General features: G+C 35.9%; 1 protein-coding gene across 12 annotated transcripts in view; it reads left to right on the top strand.

The window, feature by feature from the left end:
- The window catches only part of THEMIS (thymocyte selection associated), a 221968-nt gene that overhangs the window by 134439 nt on the left and 63246 nt on the right, over window positions 1–24283 (top strand). For 3 of the 12 annotated variants that reach the window (XM_047418767.1, XM_047418765.1, XM_047418763.1), the window contains one exon: window positions 1–24283. This exon is cut by the window's left edge and continues 23176 nt beyond it. The exons of the other annotated variants lie outside the window; for them this stretch is intronic. The gene's annotated coding sequence lies outside the window, so the exon portion shown is untranslated. 12 annotated transcript variants of the gene reach the window in all.

Raw genomic sequence — 24283 nt, 5'->3', positions numbered from 1 at the left:
ATGCGGTGTTTGGTTTTCTTTTCCTGTATTAGTTTGCTGAGAATGATGGTTTCCAGCTTCATCCATGTCCCTGCAAAGGACATGAACTCATCCTTTTGTATGTCTGCATAGTATTCCATGGTGTATATGTGCCACATTTTCTTTATCCAGTCTACCATCGATGGGCATTTGGGTTGGTTCCAAGTCTTTTCTATTGTGAACAGTGCTGCAATAAACATACGTGTGCATGTGCCTTTATAATAGAATGATTTATAATCCTTTGGGTATATACCCAGTAATGGGATTGCTGGGTCAAATGGTATTTCAGGTTCTAGATCCTTGAGGAATCGCCACACTGTCTTCCACAATGGTTGAACTAATTTACATTCCCAACAACAGTGTAACAGTGTTCGTATTTCTCCACATCCTCTCCAGCATCTGTTGTTTCCTGACTTTTTAATGATCGCCATTCTAACTGGTGTGAGATGGTATGTCATTGTGGTTTTGATTTGCATTTCTCTAATCACCATTGATGATGAGCTTTTGTTCATATGTTTTTTTGGCTGCATAAATGTCTTCTTTTGAGAAGTATCTGTTCATATCCTTTACCCAGTTTTTGATGGGGTTGTTTGATTTTTCTTGTAAATTTGTTTAAGTTCCTTGTAGATTCTGGATATTAGCTCTTTGTCAGATGGATTGCAACAATTTTCTCCCATTCTGTAAGTTGCCTATTCACTCTAATGATAGTTTATTTTGCTGTGCAGAAGTTCTTTGGTTTAATTAGATCCCATTTGTCAATTTTGGCTTTTGTTGCCATTGGTTTTGGTGTTTTAGTCATGAAGTCGTTGCCCATGCCTATGTCCTGAATGGTATTGCCTAGCTTTTCTTCTGGCATTTTTAAGGTTTTAGGTCTAATATTTAAGTCTTTAATCCATGTTGAGTTAATTTTTGTATGAAGTGTAAGGAATGGGTCCAGTTTCAATTTTCTGCATATGGCTAGCCAGTTTTCCCAACACCAGTTATTAAATAGGGAATCCTTTCCCCATTGCTTATTTTTGTCAGGTTTGTCAAAGATCAGATGGTTGTAGATGTGTGGCATTATTTCTGAGGCCTCTGTTCTGTTCCATTGGTCTATATCTCTGTTTTGGTCCTAGTACCATGCTGTTCTGGTTACTATAGCCTTGTAGTATACTTTGAAGTCAGGTAGCATCATACCTCCAGCTTTGCTCTTTTTGCTTAGGATTGTTTTGGCTATGTAGGTTCTATTTTGGTTCCATATGAAATTTAAAGTAGTTTTTTCTAATTCTGTGAAGAAAATCCATGGTAGCTTGATGGGAGTAGCATTGAGTCTATAAATCACTTTGGGCAGTATGGCCATTTTTACGATATTGATTCTTCCTATCCATGAGCATGGAAGAGGAGGTGGAGTATGGCCAAATAGGAACAGCTCAAGTCTACAGCTCCCAGCGAGATCTACGCAGAAGGTGGGTGATTTCTGTATTTCCAACTGAGGAACCCCACTCATCTCACTGGGGCTGATTAGACAGTGGGTGCAGCCCATGGAGGGCAAGCCAAAGCAGGGCGGGGCATTGCCTCACCAGGGAAGTGCAAGGGGTCAGGGAACTCCCTTCCCTAGCCAAGGGAAGCTGTGAGGAACTGTGTCATGAGGAATGGTGCATTCCGGCCCAGATACTATGCTTTTCCCATGGTCTTCGCAACCCACAGACTAGGATATTCCCTTGGGTGCCTACACCACTAGGGCCCTGGGTTTCAAGCACAAAACTGGGCAGCTGTTTGGGCAGACACTGAGCTAGCTGCAGGAGTTTTTTTTCCTACCCCAGTGGAACCTGGAATGCCAGTGAGACAGAACTGTTCACTCCCCTGGAATGAGGGCTGAAGCCAGGGAGCCAAGTGGTCTAGCTCAGTGCATCCCACCCCCATGGAGCCCAAAAAGGTAACATCCACTGGCTTGAAATTCTCGCTACCAGCACAGCAGTCTAAAGTTGACTTGGGAGCTTGTACTTGGTGCAGGGAGGGGTGTCCACCATTACCAAGGCTTGAGTAGGCGGTTTTCCCCTAACAATGTAAACAAAGCCACCGGGAAGGGAAGTTCAAACTGGGTGGAGCACACTGCAGCTTGGCAAAGCTGCTGTAGCCAGACTGCCTCTATAGATTGCTTCTCTTTGGGCAGAGCTTCAGCAGATTTAAACATTCCTGCCTGCTGGCTCTGAAGAGAGCAGCAAATCTCCCCACACAGTGCTTCAGCTCTGCTAAGGGACAGACTGCCTCCTCAAGTGGATACCTGATCCCAGTGGCACCTGACTGGGAGACACCTCCTGGGAGGGGTCGACAGACACCTCATACAGGAGAGCTCCAGCTGGAATCTGGCTGGTGCTCCTCTGGGACAAAGCTTCCAGAGGAAGGAACAGGCAACAATCTTTCCTGTTCTGCAGCCTCCACTGGTGATACCCAGGCAAACAGGGTCTGGAGTGGACCTCCAGCAAACTCCAGCAGACCTGCAGCAGAGGGGCCTGACTGTTAGAAGGAAAAATAACAAACAGAAAGGAATAGCATCAGCATCAAGAAAAAGGATGTCCAGACACAGAAACCCCATCCAAAGGTCACCAACATCAAAGACAAAAGATAGATAAATCCACAAAGAAGGGGAGAAATCAGCACAAAAAGGCTGAAAATTCCAAAAACCAGAACACTTCTTCTCCAAAAGATCACAACTCCTCACCAGTAAGGGAACAAAACTGGATGGAGAATGAGTTTGACGAATTGACAGAAGTAGGCTTCAGAAGGTGGGTAATAACAAACTCCTCCAAGCTAAAGGAGCATGTTTTAACCCCATGCAAGGAAGCTAAGAACCTTGAAAAAAGGTTAGATGAATTGCTAACTAGAATAACCACTTGAGAGAAGAACATGATGACCTGATGGAGCTGAAAAACACGGCACAAGAACTTTGTGAAGCATACACAAGTATCAATAACCAAACCGATCAAGCAGAAGAAAGGATATCAGAGATTGAAGATTAACTTAATGAAATAAGCTTGAAGACAAGATTAGAGAGAAAAGAATGAAAAGGAACAAACAAAGCCTCCAAGAAATATAGGACTATGTGAAAAGACCAATCATACATTTGATTGGTGTACCTGAAAGTGACGGAAAGAATGGAACCAAGTTGGAAAACACACTTCAGGATATTATTCAGGAGAACTTCCCCAACCTAGCAAGACAGGCCAACATTCAGATTCAGGAAATACAGAGAACACCACAAAGACACTCCTCGAGAAGAGCAACCCCAAGACACATAATTGTCAGATTCGCCAAGGTTGAAATGAAGGAAAAAATATTTAGAGCAACCAGAAAGGTTGGGTTACCCACAAAGAGAAGCCTATCAGACTAACAGTGGATTTCTCTGCAGAAACCCTATAAGCCAGAAGAGAGTAGGGGCCAATATTCAACATTCTTAAAGAAAAGAATTTTCAACCCAGAATTTCACATCTAGCCAAACTAAGCTTCATAAGTGAAGGAGAAATAAAATCCTTTACAGACAAGCAAATGCTGAGAGATTTTGTCACCACCAGGCCTGCCTTACAAGAATTCCTGAAGGAAGCACTAAATATGGGAAGGAAAAACTGGTACCAGCCACTGCAAAAACATACCAAATTGTAAAGACCATCAACACTATGAAGAAACTGCGTCAACTAATTGGCAAAATAACTAGCTGGCATCATAATTACAGGATCTAATTTACACATAACAATATTAACCTTAAATATAAATGGGCTAAATGCCCCAATTAAAAGACACAGACTGGCAAATTGGGTAGAGTAAAGACCCATCGGTGTGCTGTATTCAGGAGACCCATCTCCTGTGCAGAGACACATGGGCTCAAAATAAAGGGATGGAAGAATATTTACCAAGCAAAGAGAAAGAAAAATAAAAAGCAGGGCCTGCAAACATAGTCTCTGATAAAACAGACTTTAAACCAACAAAGATCAAAAAAGACAAAGAAAGGCATTACATAATGGTAAAGCGATCAATGAAACAAAAAGAGCTACTATCCTAAATATATATGCACCCAATACAGGATCACCCAGATTCATAAAGCAAGTTCTTAGAGACCTACAAAGAGACTTAGACTCCCACACAATAATATTGGGAGACTTTAACACTCTGCTGCCCATATTAGACAGATCAACAAGACAGAAAATTAACAAGGATATGCAGGGGAGATAAATTTTTGATAGAAAAAGTTATGGAAGAAATATACCTTTAGAGCTGTTCTTTATGAAACAGAAATTTTTGAACTATTAGGAAAATTGAAGCTATATAAAACAGTATAATTAGAACATTAAGCTTTACAGGTGGTCTCTTCTAAATGTCTCTTACTGGTGGAGCAACTAAAGGCCAAGAGAGGTTATGAAATTTTTCCTATATTTCACAGCTTTAACTCATTTGATTTGCAGATTGACAAGCTCCACTATTTTTGATAAAAATGAATTTTGAGCTTCAATTCATACCCGTATTATAGCACTTCCTACACCACATTAGAAATACTATTTCTCATTGGAGCTCTTCAATTCAGAGACAGTGTTTTATTCTGTGCAATATAGTATATTTTTCAGTGACTTAAAATTTTATTTGGTAAATGAATGAGCAAAATAAAATGAGGGAAGTAATGAGTAATGATTAACTCTACCTGATTGGCAAATCCAGAAGACTATGTTAATCTAACTATCTCTTCTCCAATATTGACTTGAAAAACCTACTTGTATGTCTCTGTCTCTGGAAAATAATGCATAAATTCAAACTCGTTGTTAACTCACTGAGAGATTTGAGGAGGTTGTGATGTTAAAGGGAAGGTGTCTGAAGTTAAACTCTATTTAAGGATATATTTTATCATTGTTTAATGCCTAAAGAAGGATCAGTCAGGGAGAAGGGCTTTTAATTCCTTCTGAAAGATGATAAAGTCAAAAGTAAGTGAGATCAGGCACTTAGAGGAACACGTTGAACCCTGAATGTGCTCAGTAACTACCTTTTTGACAGATTGACTGATCATCACATGTAGGCAGTCTGTAGTTTCAGTTTTCTGCAGAAATTTTCTTTCATGGAATCTTTGCCTATGTTTCTCAGGAGAGAGATAATGTTGTAACAACTGACTATGTACATCCTGCAGATATAACACATGAAGTTGCTCCTGAATTAGATGAATCTGCTTCTGTGCAGTATAATAAAATTAGCATCATAAAATGAAAACCCGGGTTCAAGCAACCCAATAGGTATTATTTCTTTATTCTCCAATTCCTTCCATTTTTTTAGCAAAAAAAAAAAAAAAAATTCCACTTGAGTGACTTTTAGGACTAGACTTTAATAAACACTTCAGTATAGTCGAACTGGATGAAGTACTGTCATATATAACTTACTAAAAATAAAATACAAAACTGCACACATAAGGAAAATGAAACATTATGCCCTGGGAACTTCCTTTTAATGAACACATGGCTTATATATGACAAAAAAGATCAGATCACTGTCGTGGTATACCTTAGGATGTCTGCCTGCTTTAAATGGGCTGGCAAATCTAAAAGAGTTAAACATGAGAAATTTTCAAATTTATCCAATAAGTAGATTCCCTGAAAGAGGCGGCGTCTATAATCACATTAAATGTAAATGGGTAAGCACTTCAATAAAAGGCAGAAATTGTTAGACTGAATAAAAGGAATTAAGACCCAACTACATGTTGTCTACAGATAATGTATTTTAATTATAAAAACACATGTTGATAGTAAAAGAATGGAAACAGATGTTCGTTGATTATATATAAATCTACCATTGAGAAGGAGGAAAACTAGCTCATTTAAAAAATCCAATTCAGTTCCAAATTCATTTCCTATATTCTGTGCTATAGGGAAGATTGTCAGAAGGCATCTTTCTTTTTATATTTGCTTCTGTTTGTTAGATAGTACTGACTGATTTGCTACTTCTGAGCATTGGTTTTGAAATATACATACACACACATATAATTCCACCAGCATTTGCTCAAAAATTCCTTCAGCACTGAGACTGCATTGAGATTTCTACACTCAGTTTAGGTATATCTTCAATTAACCAAATTCTGGAAACCAACCCAGTAGTGTTTCTGCATTTGTACATTTGTCAATGTACATTTGTCAAGGTCCAGCCTTTGTAATAGTAAGTAGAACAGCATTCCTACAATCTTGATTGTGCAAAGAGTAGATTCTTGTGATTCATATATTGGGGAACCTAGTCACCCCTCTGGAAACAATTATAGAACTCTGGATGTCTATGGCCTTTCCATATGTACTCTAATCTGAAAAAGCAATCTTTAGCAAATCATTCTATTCAGAGAACCCAAATGGTGTTTTAAAAATAATAAACAAATAACCACTCTTTTTATCATATAAATAATTATTAATTGAATATGGAAGTCTGAAAGAACGTAAAGATAACTGAGCACAGTGGTGTTTGTCCATTATCTGGTAAGCAGCCCTTGCTTTCCAGCTCTCAGTCCAGCACTAAAAATAGTTTCCATAGTCTAAAAGAGTAATTAGCATGCTATTCCCAGATAGCCAAAATTGTCTTTTTAATTAACAATATAATTGTTTGAATAAAGACTTAGTCCTTATTAGGCTATGTAGTGATATGACAAATCTTTTCTCTGTCTTGTATTTTCAGCCCTGGAAATTTTCATTGAAAAATGTGCTTTCCTGAATGTAATGTCTCAGGTATTATTATGAAGAATGGCCTATATATCAAAGTGGCATAATATTATTTGAAACATCTCTGCCACAAATTACAAACCAATATTGTAAACCTAAAGCAACCTCTAAAAGTAGATAAATGAGGTAACACTAATAAGATAATTGTGTAGATAAAACAAAATCTGAAAATATTTGCAATTAATGTAAGGCAGGAAATAAGCAAAAAAGTAAAAATGAAACAAACAGAAAAAAAAAAAACCCAAGGTGTTAAATTTAAACTCAAACACATCAATAACCACTTTAATGTAGATGGGTAAATACTCCAATTTAAAAGCAGAAATTTTCAACGTAAATAAAAAATACTCAACTGTATGCTGTCTACAGAAAATGTATTGTAAATATAAAAATGCAGAAAAGTTAAAAGAATGGGAAAATATATATATATAATTGTAACATTGTTCAAAAGAAAGCTGGAGAGGCCATATAAAATGGACTTTAGGGCAAGGAATATTACCAGATATAAAGGCGGAAATTTTATAACAATAATGATCAATTCATCAAGAAGATATCACATTTCTTATATGTGTATGCAACTAATAAGAGAATGTTAAGATACATGAAATAAAAACCTATTAATGTAAACAAATAAACAGGGAAATTCACAATTACAGTTGAAACAGAACATTCACCAAGAAGTATAACCAATATCTATGTTAGTTATCTATTGTTGCATAAAAAATTTTACCAAAACTTAATAAGTATAAACAGCAAACATTCATTATGGCACAGTTTCTGTGAGTCAAGAATCTGGGAGCAGCTTAACTCGGTGGTTCTAGCTATGGGTCTTTTATGATGCTACCTCAGTCAATGTGTCAGCTGGGGCTACATTCATCAAAATTGCTGACTCAGAGGGGTTCTACTTTCAAAGTAATTCACCCGCCTTGGGGCAGGCCCCAGATGCTCTGATCCAGGTCAGTCACATGAGCCTCTGCACAGAGCTGTCTCTCAAAATGGCAGCTGGCTTCCCCCAAGAATGAGAGGTCCAAGAAAGAGTATCTAAGACAGAAGCTGTAGTCATTTTATAACCTAATTTCAGAGATGAGATTCCATCACATCTGCTTTATTCTATTTCCTAGAAGCTAGTCACTAAATCCGCCTACAATCAAAGTCAGGGGTTACACAAGGACCTAAATGCAGGAGCCAGTGATTACAGGTGGAACATCTTAAAAACTGCCTACCACAGAATATATCCTGGAGCATAAAAAACAGTCTTGACAAATTTAGAAGCATAGACAAATTATGGACATACATTCATTGATGAATGAATTGATTGGAAATAAATAACAAAAAGTTATACAGAAAAAGTCCCCCGTTATTTGGCATTTGTTCAATATACTTTTAAAGAATACATGGGTCAAAGACAAAAATCACAAGGAAAATTAGAAAACAATTTAAACCAGTTGAAAAGAAAACACAACATTCTATTGAAAATGAAAACAAAAGTGCCAATCTGAGAGAAAATGTTAGAGATACATATATCTGGCAAAGTGCTTGTATTTGTAATACACTAAAAAAACCCTTGACAGCTTGACAATAAGACAAATAAATGATTAAAAAGAGAGAGAAAGGTTTGAACAACCATTTTACAAAAAAGCATAAATGACTCTCAAAAGCATTATGCTTAGCCAAAGAAGCCAGATATTAAAGAGTAAATACTGTATCATTTCATTTATATTAAATTACAGAAAGGCAAAACAGAAGATCGTTTTTTGCCAGGGGTGGGGAACATTCACTGCAAAAAAAAAAAAAGCATGAAATAATTTTTGGTGGTGATGGGAAAAAATTCAGGGAATGAGGTCAAACCCAGAGTGCTGCCAGTAAAATCTGTGGCCTCAGGCTCACAATCAAACCAAAGCTATGGTTGTAATTTGGTTGAGATTTCAGGAAATTGTGGAAGAGTGTCTCATTTTCCTCTCAGCAGAAATTGCTTCTAAGAATTTTAAGGACAAGACTCTTTGGCCCTCTCTGCTGTGAGGGTCTTCACAAGTAACCCCAAATAGAGAAAGACTCTACTCAGAGAAATAGGTGGACGTCACTTTTGTCTAATGAATTGGATTATAATTTGTACACAAGTCCACATATTTTAAAAGGAATTATAATAGCCTGGACTGAAAGGAACAGACACTGCTCAAAACATAAAAACACTTTTGCGTCCCCAACTTCTTATGGGCAGAAAGCAGGCTAAGAACACTATGCAGCTGCAAACATATGTCATTAAAGAGTTCATGGTGTGCTGCCAGGCGTCAAGAAGAACCACCCCAGGGAACATATATGGGTCCTAATCAACATATGCCCTGCCTCCTGAGCCAGGTGAAATGGTAGGTAGCTTGTTCCTACTGGATCTCAGAATTTTCTCATCCCAGTGACTACAATGTCACTCACATTGTCCTGCCTCTTTTTAAGTGGAGGTATGTATTGTGGTTCTCTTGATCATGTCTCCTCATCGTAAGGTGGAAATGTGTGGGCATATAGCTGGTTTCTTTATTTGATGGTCTTCTGATCAAGAGGAAGTTCCACCCTCACCCTACTAGCCTCAATCTATTTGCTTTAGAAGCCAGTTGCTAAATACAGCAGCTTGACTTGATTTACATGATGAGATTCTGAACTTAAAGTATAATACTGATGGTGATGAGATTTGGGGGTTTAGGCAGATTGGTAAGTGTTATTTTGAAAGTGAGAGGAAAATGCATCATCCTTGGCTAGCGGACTAAGTGTGGTAGCTACTCTCCAAAAATAGCCCCAATGAACCAGCTCTCCTAGTCGCTAAGTTCTACCATAGTACATATGTGCTATCTCTGTGATTTGCTTTAAGCAATTAGATGTAGTACAAGTGTTTCTGGGCCAGTTTCTGGTGTAAGCCGTAAGAAGGCCTGGTAGGTTCTGGCCGGGCGCAGTGGCTCACGCCTGTAATCCCAGCACTTTGGGAGGCCGAGACATGTGGATCATGGGGTCAGGAGATCGAGACCATCCTGGCTAACACGGTGAAACCCCGTCTGTACTAAAAATACAAAAAATTAGCTGGGCATGGTGGCTGGCGCCCTTAGTCCCAGCTACTCGGGAGGCTGAGGCAGGAGAATGGTGTGAACCCGGGAGGCGGAGCTTGCAGTGAGCGGAGATGGCGCCACTGCACTCCAGCCTGGGCGACAGAGCGAGACTCCGTCTCAAAGAAAAATAAAAATTAAAATTAAAAAATTAAGAAGGACTGGTAGGTTCTGCTTTGCTTTTTAGGATAGCTCCACGCTGCCATGTAAAAATGTTGGCTATTTTGTTGGAGAGTCGATTTGGAGATGCAGTTGTCACAGCATCCCAGCAGCTGAGCTGAGATACTCAGCTTTCTTCACCAAAGTGCCAGGCGTGTAGTGAGCCATCTTGGATATAGCAGACCCAGTTGGCATCACATGGAGTTGGGCCTAGTTGATTCACAGAATGGTGGAGACAATAAAATTATCTCGTTTTAAATTATTAAGTTTTGCAGTGATTTGTTATTCAGCAATAGATAACTGGGCCTCTAATATAAGCCATTAACTGTATGAGACCATAAGATTATACTAAATACAAATGAATAAATTTGCTATTTTTTATTTTCTTACTTTGAATTTTAACTAACCTTAAATTTTTTTCTCTGTCATAAATTTATTTTCGGTAGCCACCAATATTAGAGCTTTGTACAGTTGTTGCTATATTGATTATATACTTTAGGTTTTTTGGCTTCTTTATTAAGGTTGCTTTTTTCAAAGTTAAGTGACAGTTTAAGTCATTTATAGATCTTGGCAGCAAAGAAGATACCAGATGTCACATATGTGATGAAAATATCCACAATCTTTTTGTTGTCATGAAAATATATTTTTAAAATCCTTTAACAGAAATTTAGATATGTAGTAGCTTATCAGTCATAGGAAAACAGATAATTTTTTAAATACATAAAGTACTTTTTAGATTTCTAAATGTTTTTAACAGCGTTCTAATTTTAATGGTAAAAACTGGATAAAAACGTTCAAATACTCTCTAAAAATGTAAATTCTTCTTTTAGAAGTTTCTAGCATTAGAATTTGGCATATTAGCCATGCTGTAATATATCTGGAGTCTTTGTGATGATCAAAATGGTGATTCTTTAATAAGCTGGTACTCTAAAAACTTTCTGATAGGTCTCAATGCTTCCATATCAGTTTAATTATATGAGACTGTTATAAAGAGCTACGTTCTTTGTCTTACTCCCCAAGGAAGTACATTCCAGGGCATAATTCTATTCTCTTATCAGCAAAATCTTGGGATTATCTCTAGCTTCTAAATTATTTTTCTATCCTCAAAATCATGCAAAAAGTTACTTAGATGCTTTAGGTACTTAGTTTGAGTCAGCATATCTTTACATGCGTACAGACATTGCATTTTGGAACTTATCCAGTGCTATCAAGTTGATTTAACATAACCATTTTTATGCTAAGTAGGTCATGACTGGCAGAGCCAAGAGAAGTCTAATAAACAAATGTTAATATTCTATAGAGTAATAATTCTTTTAAGACTGAGCTGCCCCCAAACGCCCTCAAAATGAAAAGAATAAACCTCTAAATTATCCACCAGAATTTCTTACATTTTCAGACTTTTCTGGGAGTATAAACATCATAATAATATCGGATTTGAGAGATATTTGTTTTCTTTTAAGGGAAGAGCCATCAGAATTAGAATCTGTTGGCAAGCATGCCTACTAAATAGGTTGAGTGTGTAGTCTTTGGCAAGACAGAAACAAGAAGATATGTGAGTGCTTCTGACTGTACAAAAATGAAGTATCACATCCAAATTCTTTCTAGAGGATAACACCAAGACCTTGATTTTTAAGCAATTAAACTTGAAAGGAAATGCTTTTTTAGCTCAGATGCTAGAACTTTTCCTTAAAAATGAAGATTCTGAAAAGTGGACAAATGATCCTGTTTCCCCATTGTATGTTGAGGAGAAACATACAATAAATAGAAAATTTACAGAAATCTAAATAACCAATAAATACACAAAGGCCTACCTAATCTCACTAAAATTCAAGAATATTCAAAATTTATTTTAATTCACCAGGGGCAAAAATGAAAAAAATATTTTAATTAAGCAGAGAGTGTGAGAAAAATAATTATCTTGTGCCTTGTATGTGTACTTTTTGACCTAGCAATTCCACTTAACATTATCTGTCTTATTAAAAAAAAAACCATATGTGCATTCATGAGAATAATCATTGTTGCACTATCTCACATAATTAACACATGGAAGAAATCTAGATATCTATTAATAGGAGGATGATTAAATAAATCAGAAAAACCCATACTATAAAGCATTTTAGAAGAATGCGGCAGAGACAGATTTAAATATACTGAAATAAAGGTGCCCAAGATATATTATTAAGTAAAAAAGCAAGTTACAAAACAAACTACAGTCTTCCATTTTTTAAAAACATAAAACTAAATCGTACATTTCCATATGATCATATATGCCTTATGATATATGTATATGGTGTGATGCACATGTGCCATACTGATTGCAGTAACCCTTGGGGAAGGAAGAGGAAGATATAGTGGGCTAAGGGCTATTCATATAATAACTTTGTAATTATGGAGAAGTAAAAAGGATGGGGGAAAGTTCGTAGTGTAACTTGAAATAATCCCATCTTTGGTTTTAAACAATCAATGCTTAAGTGAATTGTAATTAATGATTTTCACAGTTCTAACTTCCAACTTGACATTGGTATTTTCTATAGAATATAAAGGTAATTTTTCAAAGATCAGAATGTTGTAGATGTGTGGTGTTATTTCTGAGGCTTCTGTTCTGTTCCATTGGTCTATATATCTGTTTTGGTACCAGTATCATGCTGTTTTGGTTACTGTAGCCTTGTAGTATAGTTTGACGTCAGGTAGTGTGATGCCTCCAGCTTTCTTCTTTTTGCTTAGGATTGTCTTGGCAATATGGGCTCTTTTTTGGTTCCATATGAACTTTAAAGTAGTTTTTTTCAGTTCTGTGAAGAAAATCATTGGTAGCTTAATGGGGATGGCATTGAATCTATAAATTACCTTGAGCAGTATGGCCATTTTCATGATACTGATTCTTCCTATCCATGAGCATGGAATGTTCTTCCATTTGTTTGTGTCCTCTTTTATTTCATTGAGCAGTGGTTTGTAGTTCTTGAAGAGGTTCTTCACATCCCTTGTAAGTTTGATTCCTAGGTATTTTATTCTTTTTGTAGCAATTGTGAATGGGAGTTCACTCATGATTTGGTTCTTTGTCTGTTATTAGAGTACAGGAATGCATGTGATTTTTGCAGTGATTTTGTATCCTGAGACTTTGCTGAAGTTGCTTATCAGCATAAGGAGATTTTGGGCTGAGACAATGGGGTTTTCTAAATATACAATCATGTCATCTACAAACAGGGACAATTTGACTTCCTCTTTTCCTAATTGAATACCCTTTATTTCTTTCTCTTGCCTGATTGAACTGATCTTTGACAAACCTAACAAAAACAAGCAATAGAGAAAGGATTCCCTATTTAATAAATGGTTCTGGGAAAACTGGCTAGCCATATGGAGAAAGCTGAAACTGGATCCCTTCCTTATACCTTATACAAAATTTAATTCAAGATGGATTAAAGACTTAAATGTTAGACTTAAAACCACAAAAACCATAGAAGAAAACCTAGGCAATACCATTCAGGACACAGGCATGGGCAAGGACTTCATGGGCAAAACACCAAAAGCAATGGCAACAAAAGCCAAAATTGACAAATGGGATCTAATTAAAGAGCTTCTGCACAGCAAAAGAAACTATCATTAGAGTGAACAGGCAACCTACAGAATGGGAGAAAATTTTTGCAATCTACCCCTGTGACAAAGGGCTAATATCCAGAATCTACAAAGAACTTAAACAAATTTACAGGAAAAAAATCAAACAACCCCATCAAAAAGTGGGCAAAGGATATGAACAGACACTTCTCAGAAGAAGACATTTATGCAACCAAAAGACACATGAAAAAATGCTCACCATCACTGGCCATTAGAAAAATGCAAATCAAAACCACAATGAGATACCATCTCACACCAGTCAGAATGGTGATCATTAAAAAGTCAGGAAACAATAGGTGCTGGAGACGATGTGGAGAAATACGAATGCTTTTACACCGTTGGTGGGACTGTAAACTAGTTCAGCCATTATGGAAGACAGTGTGGCAATTCCTCAAGGATCTAGAACTAGAAATACCATTTGGCCCAGTGATCCCATTACTGGGTATATACCCAAAGGATTATAAATCATGCTGTTATAAAGACACATGCACACATATGTTTATTGTGGGACTATTCACAATAGCAACGACTTGGAACCAACTCAAATGTCCATCAATGATAGACCGGATTAAGAAAATGTGGCAAATATACACCATGGAATACTATGTATCCATAAAAAAGGGTGAGTTCATGTCCTTTGTAGGGACATGGATGAAGCTGGAAACCATCATTCTGAGCAAACTATCACAAGGACAGGAAACCAAACACCACATGTTCTCACTCATAGGTGGGAAATGAACAGTGAGAACACTTGGACACAGGGTGGGGAACATCACACACTGTCATGGGGTTGGAGGATGGGGGAGGGGTAGCGTCAGGAGAAATACCTAATGCAAATGACAGCTTAATGGGTGCAGCAAACCAACATGGCACATGTATACATATGTAACAAACCTGCACGTTGTGCACATGTACCCTAGAATTTAAAGTATAAATATATATATATGTAAGCATATAAAGGTAATTTTTAAGGGCCTTTGTCTAATGGAGCAGAAATAAAACTTTCATAAGCCAGAACAACAAGCATGACTGGCCGTAGAGAACAATGCCTGACTGCTTAAGCTTTGTGACTTTCAGCGTGTTGCTTCGTCTGTGCCACTCTCTCTTCACTTGTAAAATGAGGGATGAAATGTATTTAGTAAGTGCCTGGGAAAAAGCAAAGAACATATTGTAGGACAACACTTAATGCACTGCCAAGCAAGATACTAAAAACAAAAAAAAAAAACAAAAAAAAACTGGTCTATTTTCATTTGTTCACAATAAACACAACAATCTTAGAAGTTTAATGCAACTCCTTCAATGACTGACTAGAACAATGTGAAGAAAACCAAGGAGAACCAATTCAAATGACTTACACAATTAAATGGCATCTTAAAAATGTTTGATTAAAGTCTGTTTCTTTCTTCTTCGCATCTTTCATTTGAAGTGTGGATTTAAGAAATCAAAAAAATGGACCCAAGTATAATTAATGTTTCATATTCCTGCAGAGTCCAAAGTTGACCAGAATCCAGCCAGCCAGCTAGCAAAGGAAGTTTACAAAGTAAATACGAAATGAACATTGTCTTTTGGTGATGTGTTTGAAACACTGCAACATTTGCATTTTAGATTAAGCTCAACACTATGTTGTCTCAGGTTGTAAGATCATCAGTGTTGATCTTCAGGATAAACAGGAAAGATTGATTACGTGCACTAAGAGCTAAGAACAGGGAAGCCAAAAGGATTAGAGCCTGTTCATCGAAAGCAAAGCCAATATTTAAAAGGTGATACTTTTGCATACATCATCCAGCTACATCGAGGTAACTGCACAAAGCATGAGAGTAACTTGGGAACTTTTGTTTACAAACATTTTAATTTTTGGAAAATATTAAATACCTGATCTAAATAACTGTCTGAATGCATAAGTAATTCAGCTAATTGTGCTGTCTGATTTCAATAACTTGAATTTAAAAAATATAATTAATAATATTTGAAGGTCTGTTTCACACGTTGCCTCTATTCTTTTATAAAAGAAATTTTCCTTTTTTATTTTTGGAGGAAAAGGCATACATATTTTAAAAGGAAGCATTGATTAGCATCTCTATTCTATTGTTTTTGTTGCGAAGTACTGTTTCTTTTTAGGTGAGCCAACTCTCCCTTCAGACTAGAAAACTGATGATGAAGCAAAAATATTTACACTTTGAAGTCAGAAGGAACAGCTTGTGGGGTTGACAGAGGCAAGGGGAGGGAAATGTGCTTGGAGTTGTTAACAAATCCGGAAACACAGTGTGGCATTTAAGTTAGTTAGAAGGGAGGGAAGCTGAATCCCTGAAATACAAATAAGGTTAGTTAACATTTATTTTACTCTGAAAGTACACTTCTTCAATTAAAGAAGTATCATGTTGTTCATTAATTTATAATCTGTGTGAATTAAAAATTATTAAATATCTAGCCTCAGATGTAAATTGTGTGTTTATGTGCATGTGGGTGTATAGTTCAGAGAAAGTGATTGTAAGAAGAAAGGGAAAGATGTATTAATGAATATTTTGGAGGGCCTCTATCATAAATCATTAATAACTACTCATGAAAGACTGTATCAGACCCACGGAACAAATAGTCAACATGCCCCATAAGGACTTTAGATCCACTATGGACCACATATATACAGTGGTCTCATAAGATTATAATGAAGCTGAAAAACTTGTTTCACCTAGTGAGGTCGTAGCTGTCATAACTTTGTAGTGCAACACATTACTCACTTGTTGTGGTGGTGCTGGTTTAAATAAACCTACTGCATTGGTGGTTGTATAAAAGTATAGTACATATAATTATGTATATAAAACTCGATAATGATAAGAAATGACAATATCAATGGTTTATAATATACATTTTATCATTATTCTAGAGTATATTCCTTCTACTTATTAAAAAAAGTTTACTGTAAAACAATCTCAGGTAGGTCCTTTTGGAAGTATTCCAAACAAAGGCATTGTTACCAAAGGAGTTGACAACTTCATGTGCACTACCCCTGAAGTCCAGTGGGACAAGACGTGGAGGTCGAAGACAGTGATGTTGATGACCATGACCCTGTGTAGGCCTATGTTTATGTGTGCTCTTGGGTCTTAGTTAAATAGTAAAAGTAAAAATAAAAATAAAAATTTTAAACATTGAAAAAAAAGCTTATAGAACAAGGATATAAAGAAAATATTTGGCCTGGTGTGGTGGCTCACGTCTGTAATCCCAGCACTTTGGGAGGCCAAGGCTGGCAGATCACTTGAGGTCAGGAGTTTGAGACCAGCCTGGCCAACATGGTGAAACAGTGCCTTTACTAAAATACAAAAAATTAGCTGAGTGTGATGGTGCACATTTGTAATCCCAGCTACTTGGGAGGTTGAGGCAGGAGAATCACTTGAACCCGGGAGGTGGAGCTTGTAGTGAGTCAAGATCGTGCCACTGCACTCCAGCCTGGGTGACAGAGCGAGACTCCATCTCCAAAAAAAAACAAAAAAAAAGAAAATATTTTTGTACATCTGTACAGCATATTTGCATTTTAAGTTATGTTATTAACAAAAGAGTCAAAAAATTAAAACATTTATAAAGTAATAAAGTTACGGTAAGCTAAGTTTAATTTATTATTGAAGAAAGAAATTTTTTTAATACACTGAATGTAGCCAAAGTTTACAGTGTTTATAAAGCCTACAGTAGAATACGGTAATGTCCTAGGCCTTCATAGTCACTCACACTATTCACTCACTGACTCATCCAAAGCAACTTCCAGTCCTTCAAATTTCATTCATAGTAAGTGCCTTATATTGATGTACAATTTTTAATCTTTTATATCATATTTTTACTGTATCTTTTCTATTTTATATATGTTTAAGTACAAAAATACTTACCATTGTGTTACCACTGCCTAGAGTATTCAGTACAGGAACATAATATACATACAGGTTTATAGCCCAGGAACAATAGGCTATCCCATTTAGCCTAGGTGTGTAGTAGGCTGTACCATCTATGTTTCTGTAAGTGTACTCTGTGGTGCTTGCACAATGACAAAATTGACTAACGATGCATTTCTCAGAAAGTATTCCTGTCATTCAGTGATGTGTGACTTAAGTGAGGAAGAAAATTATGTTATATAGAAGTAGAATACAAAGGAGGCTAACTCTGATAACTCATTATTTGTATCAAAAGTATCATCAAATTAAACATGTTTAAAAAACAAAGATTTTCAAATGCTACTTAATAGTTCATGCTTCATATTTCATTCAACAAAACTGTTGGTTACAACATCAATCAGGCAAAAAGGATACATGGAATGTGCGAAATTCACTTTGGGGATTTCTGGTATGCATTAAAAAGATGTAAAGATATAAGCAGCTATTAAGGGAGGTAAGACTGCAATATAATGGACCTGACTGATGATGATTCAGAGTTTGTTAGAATTGTGATATTAAGGCACCATGGACAGAGAATATTAGACAGCGATTTCAAATATATACTGTCAATTGAAAGTCAGGAGTGCAGATGCTTTGAATTTGGGGTGCTAAATTTTGATCTGTTTGCTTCTACATTAGCCACTAGCCACTCAATAAAGTATTGCTCTAGGTTGAGAATCAATAAAAATTTAAGAATAATTGAACATTTTTTCCAAGGAATGTTGTATTGATCAACTAGCATTCAAATACATGTATGCACCGATTATTGACTATGATATGTTCTGAGAAATGCATCATTAGGCAATTTCATTGTGTAAATATTATAGAGTGTACTTAAGCAAACTTAAGATGGTATAGCCTACTACACATCTAGGCTATATGGTATGACCTATTGCTTCTAAGCTACAAACCTGTACATTATGTTATTGTACTGAATACTGGAGGCAATTGTAACACAGTGGTAAGTATTGTGTATCTAAACTTATCTAAACATAAAAAGGCACATTAAAGATACAGTATTATAATCTTATGGAATCACCATTGTATGTGTGGTTCTTTGACTGAAATGTAATGTGGCACATGACTGTATACCCGATCAGTTCAATTTTGATTAAATAGCTCGAGTAGTAGTTCCTTACATTTGGCATTACAAATTTCTTTTCATTATTTACAAACAGTCTTCATTTGCAATAACTGGTAATAATTCATAATTTACCACAACTGAAATTGAATCTCTATGCTTCACAGCTAGTGACCTGGTATCAGCTTCCTCATCCATTTTTCCTAGTTGAAAATTCATCCCAATTTGGGCTTTTATTGTTCTCTCTTTATCATCTTCCATGCAGCTACATTCATGACACGATGCAAACTTTGTTGCATTGTGAAATACTTCCCAGACAGTAGGCAACCAATAAAGTTGGTGAGCAATAAAGAGGTGGAAGAAAATAACAATTCTTATCTCTCAAATGACTTTATATACGATTTTGGCTTTGTGTTATTAGAACCATTAAGAGTCTGAAGAGACCTTTCATATATTTTTTTATTCTGCATTACTGAATTTTTAAGAAAGAAATTATGTGCTATAATAGTGTTCTTGACTTTGAGAATTCTTGAAAGTCTCAACGGGTATCCCTGGAGAATGTAAGGGTCTCCTGTAATAAGATTAGATTTATGAGAGACTTGTAGTTTATATGAAGCTTTCAAATTCACAGTTAATGAGGTTTCCCTGGTGGTGGCTCATACAAATGAAGATGTCAGAACAAAATGAAGCATAAACTCCTACTGCAATTGGGGGGTCTAATTTCATGATAATGTGGAAAGAGAGAGAGAGCAAAACATATAACAACATTTATGTTAATCTTCAGGAAAAGCAGAGTTAAAATAACTTCTAGATATTTTAAGTAATAGATAAGAAAATAAAGATACTCAAAAATCTAATGATAGATAGGAAAAAGGAATGGGAGGACAATACCCAAACTGTTCTTGAGCCATAGTCTGGTTATCAATGACTGCCAGTGCTTTAGGGTAATACCAGCATGCAACACCTGTCTTGGATCAATGTTATTACCAACTGCATTATTTTAGGAAATAAGGCCTGAAATAGTCAAGGAGTGGATAAGGAGAGGTGTTTGTAGCCTAGTGTCCCATTTAGGCCTTCTCTGCAGCTATGATATCTCTGTATAAACTTAAGAAACATTTTCTTTTATATTTTATTCTTATTGATTATAGGAGTCTGCTGCAGACATGCATTTCCTAACCACTTTTTAATGTTTTAATGTTTCTTTAGTATTAATTCTATACCAAAATTAAATGGACGTTACTATAGTAAAAAAAAAATGCCTCAAGATTATAGAGTTCAACAAAATGAAAGAGAAAGAGAAGCTAAATTTTGGCAAATGACTGTGGAAAAAAATACAGAAAATGGGTTTCACCTTATTTAGTCTCTACCTCATGGGGTTTTATAAGTATTAAATGGGATAAAGTTTGTGCAATGCCAGGTACCTAGTAAACACTCAGTAAATATTGCCAATCATAAAGCCTTCTATTACCAATTTTCTGATACGAAATATCTTGCACACTTTCCTGTGTCTTTCTTTCTAAACTTGGGATAAATTTCATGATACTCTCATTTGTTTCTTCCTTAACTACATCTAATTAAACCAGATTTTAGGAATCTATAAGTTATATGCCCTCTCTGAATGATCTCTTCGATAGTAATATAATGTGAGCCACAATTTTGAGTCATATATGTAATTAAAATTTTCCTAGTAACTGTATCAAAAAAGCAAAAAGAAACAGGGAAAAACTTCTTTGAGTGATATACTTTAGCATGATATTTACAAAATATCATCAGTTTCATTGATTTACATGTAATCAATGTAAAATTATTAGACAAAACTTACTTTTACATTTTAAAAATCTAGTACTTATATTATACACATCTCAGTTCAGACTATCCACATTTCAATAATTCAATAGCTACCTGGTCAATGTAGTTTTATATGAAGAGAAAATGAAGTTTACAATAAAGAAAATTATCTCTAGTTACATATTTTCAATCATTTGCAAGTGGATAAGGTAACTTTTTTCATGGATCATGATAAGTAAGGAGAGTAGAAAAGCTAGGACAAAGACCTTTTTTTTGGTTTGTTTTTGTTTTAAATCACTTCTAATTATAACCTACTTTGTTACGCAGAAGTCTAGAGTTGGGCAGAAACACCTGTCTCAAACAGCCATCAATTCTTTGGAGTATTCAAAATTAACTTTTGTTTGGGATGATGTTAGTTAGTTAATCTAGTCATAGCCACAACACGAATATTGATTTTTGATGATTCAATGAGATAATGCACACAAAAGCATTCTGTAAGTTATACAGCACTATAAATGCATAGTGAGGATCAAGACTATTTTAATCACATAGAGAATTCATTGGTGAGTGCACCTAAATTAAAATATAATGCTTTCCCTTTCCTTTCTAAATTGACCTTTCCCTGTACAAGTTATTCATGGAAATCAGACACATTCTTTTCTTTCTTAAACTCTTAGGTCTCAAGCTAATAGGTAAGAGAGTAAACCCTGGTTGGGATTAATTTTTCAAAGGGAATACTTAAAAGCATTCCCTTTGTCTTTCCTTTCATTTCCCCAATCCAATTATTTCATACTTATATAATGGTTGTATGGGTCTCCAATTATCTATCTTTTTTTTTCAGTGCAGATAAACAGCTGATTAAATCTTTCTTTGATTTTTATGAAATGTAGTAACTTGGTAGACAACACTGAATGTATTACTTCTGTGTATGTAGCCTAGAAATACTTAGAACAATGGCAGCAAAAGCAGGTAATGCAAGGGAGATGATAGAAATGAGAAATTAAAGCAAGGTCAATGCCAATTCCATAGGCTAATTATAGTTTTCAGTGCATTATGAGTATTGAAAACTGTTTAGATTGAGTAGAGGAAATAATGGAGATGGTGACAGTTATTTTAATTAATTAGAGTGGCCAGGGAATGAAGTGAGCAAGACAATCATGTCTACTTCTGAGAGAAGAACCTTTCCAGGTGGAGGGGACTGACAATGCAAAGACCTTGAAGTAATAAGTTTCTTGTCATGGCTGGAATAGAGATGAATGGTAGTATATTTTATCTGAGAGCTGGCAGAGAGCCAGAGTGCATAAGGAATGATAAGCGCTTTAGATTTCTTTTCTGAGTAAGACAGGATGCCAACAGAGGATTCATTTTTGTATTTGTTATTGTTTCAGTTCTGGTAAGAAGACATGAGATCTATCATTGTAACAAATTTTTACCTATACAATATAATATTGTTGAATATAGATACCATATTGTATACAATATCTTTAGAGCTTATTCATCTTCCTTGACTGAAACTTAATTTGTCACTCCTCATTTCACTGTCTTCCCACCTGACAACCACCATCCCTTTCTGGGATTCTATGAATTTGCCTAGTTTTAGATACATCATATAATAGAATCGTGATATATTTATCTTTCTATAACTGGCATATTTCAATTAGCATAATGTCTTCCAATTCATACATGTTGTCACATACTGCAGAATTTCCTTCTTTTTTAAAAAATCTGAATAGTATCCCCTTGTATGTATAGCGTACATTTTCTTTATCCATTCATTAATCAGTAGACATTCAGGGTGTTTCCACATCTTGATTATTGTGAATACAACTGCAACGAACATAGAAGTGCTCCTATCAATTTGAGATACCGATTTCAGTTCTTTTGGATAAAAAACTCAGAAGTAGGATTGCTGGATCATATGGTAGTTCTATTTTTAATTTTTTGAGAGTCTCCATACTGTTTTCCATAATGGCTGTGCTATTGGCACTCTGGGTTCTTGTAATCTCCCAGGATAGAAATAAAGAGAGATCACTAGACATAGCAGCAAAGAGAAAGAGAAAGATTTATTTCACTTGTGCACAAGGAAGTCAGCACTACAAAAAGAAAAGGGTGGGCTGCTCCCTGAGAGTAGTATGTGCATTAGTTTTATAGGTCCTTTCTATAGGGAAGGGTTTCATCAGGTCCTGTATAGCAGGGGTTTCTCTAGTGCTTGTTCAGTGGCCTTATGCACTTCTTAATACATTGCATGGAAGATATGCAGTTTAAATCTCCACCCCTGGGTATGATTTTTAGCATTAAAATGAGGAAGGGGTAACTGTGAGTTGAAGTTCAAGTCTATCTTCACATGTGGAGTCCCAGGGAAGTCCCTAGCCCCCTAAAGCAGGAACCTGTAATTAATAGCTTCTTGGGTCTTTATTTGATGATTAGCTAGAAGTTAGGTCAGCTATAGCTTGAGTGAGAGGCATTTTTTCTTTTTCTCTAAACCACATCAAAATCAGAAGCCTGCCAGCTTGCCTGTCTCAGCTGTACCTTTGCATTTCCACCAAGAGTGTGCCAATGTTCCCTTTTCTTCACATCCTTGCCAACACTTGGCTTTTGATTTTTTGGTAATAACCATCCTGACAGGTGTGAGATGTTATCTCATTGTGGTCATAATTTGCATTTCCTTGTATGTTTTCTTGGGAGAAATGTCTCCTTAAGTCCTTAGTCCATTTTTAATCAGTTTTTTGGATATTAACCCTTATCAGGTATATGATTTGCAAACATTTTCTCCCATTCTATAGGTTGTCTTATTATTTTGTCAATTGTTTCCTTTGTTGTGCAGAAGCTTTTTTAGTTTGACATAGACCCATTTATTTTTGTTTTTGCTGACTGTACTTTTGGTGTCATATACATGAAATAATTGCTAAGACCAATATCAATAAGCTTTTCTAATATGTTTTATTCTAGGAGTTTTAAAGCTTCAGTTCTTACATTTATGTCTAGAAGAATTTTCTTTTTTTTCTCCCTCTCTTTTAAGAGACAGGGTCTCACTCTGTTATACAGGATGCAGTGCAGTGGCATGATCATAGTTCACTGCAACCTTTAACTCCTGGTCCCAAATCATCCTCCGGGCCTCAGCCACTCTAGTACCTAGAGATGCACCACCATGCCTGGCTAGTTTTTAATTTTTTGTAGAGATAGAGTATTGCTATGTTTCCCTGGCTGTTCTTGAACTCCTAGCCTCAAGTAGTCCTCCCACCCAAGCCTCCCAAAGTGCTGAGATTTCAGGTGGAGCCACTATGCTGAGCTTGGAAGATTTTAAATTGTTAAAATATTCATACTACCCAAAATGAAATACAGATTTAATGTAATACCTATCAAAATTTCAATGGAAGTTTGTACAGAAATAGAAAAAATAATTCTGAAAGTCATATGAAACCATGAAGGCCATGAATAGTCAAATCACTATTGAGAAAGAATAAAGCTGGAGGCAACATATTTCCTGATTTCAAAATATATTACAAATCTACAATAATCAAAACAGTATGGTTCTGTTATAAAGGCAGACATATAGCCCAATGGAACAGAATACAAAGCCCAAAAGTAAATCTACACATATATGGTCAACGTATCTTTGATAAGGATGACAAGAATACATAATAAGGAAGAATTATCTGTTCAACAAATAGTGTTGAGAAAACTAGAAATCCACATGCAAAAAAAAAAAAAGAGATTCGATTCTTAGCTTACACTATACATCAATATTGACTCAAAATGAATGAGAAACTTAGACATAAGACTTGACACTGTAAAAATCATAGGGTTTTCAGTTGGGAAGCTACATAATCTAATTTACATTTCAGAATGATCCCTTTGGTTACCCTATGAACAAGAGATTATAAAGGGATCAAGAGAAAGAAAGAGAGAGAGAGAGGAAGG

This window comes from Homo sapiens, chromosome 6 (assembly GCF_000001405.40).
Source record: "Homo sapiens chromosome 6, GRCh38.p14 Primary Assembly".
NCBI classification, from domain to species: domain Eukaryota; kingdom Metazoa; phylum Chordata; class Mammalia; order Primates; family Hominidae; genus Homo; species Homo sapiens.
Note: the sequence above shows the minus strand (reverse complement) of the source record. Positions and strands in the feature narration are given on the sequence as shown.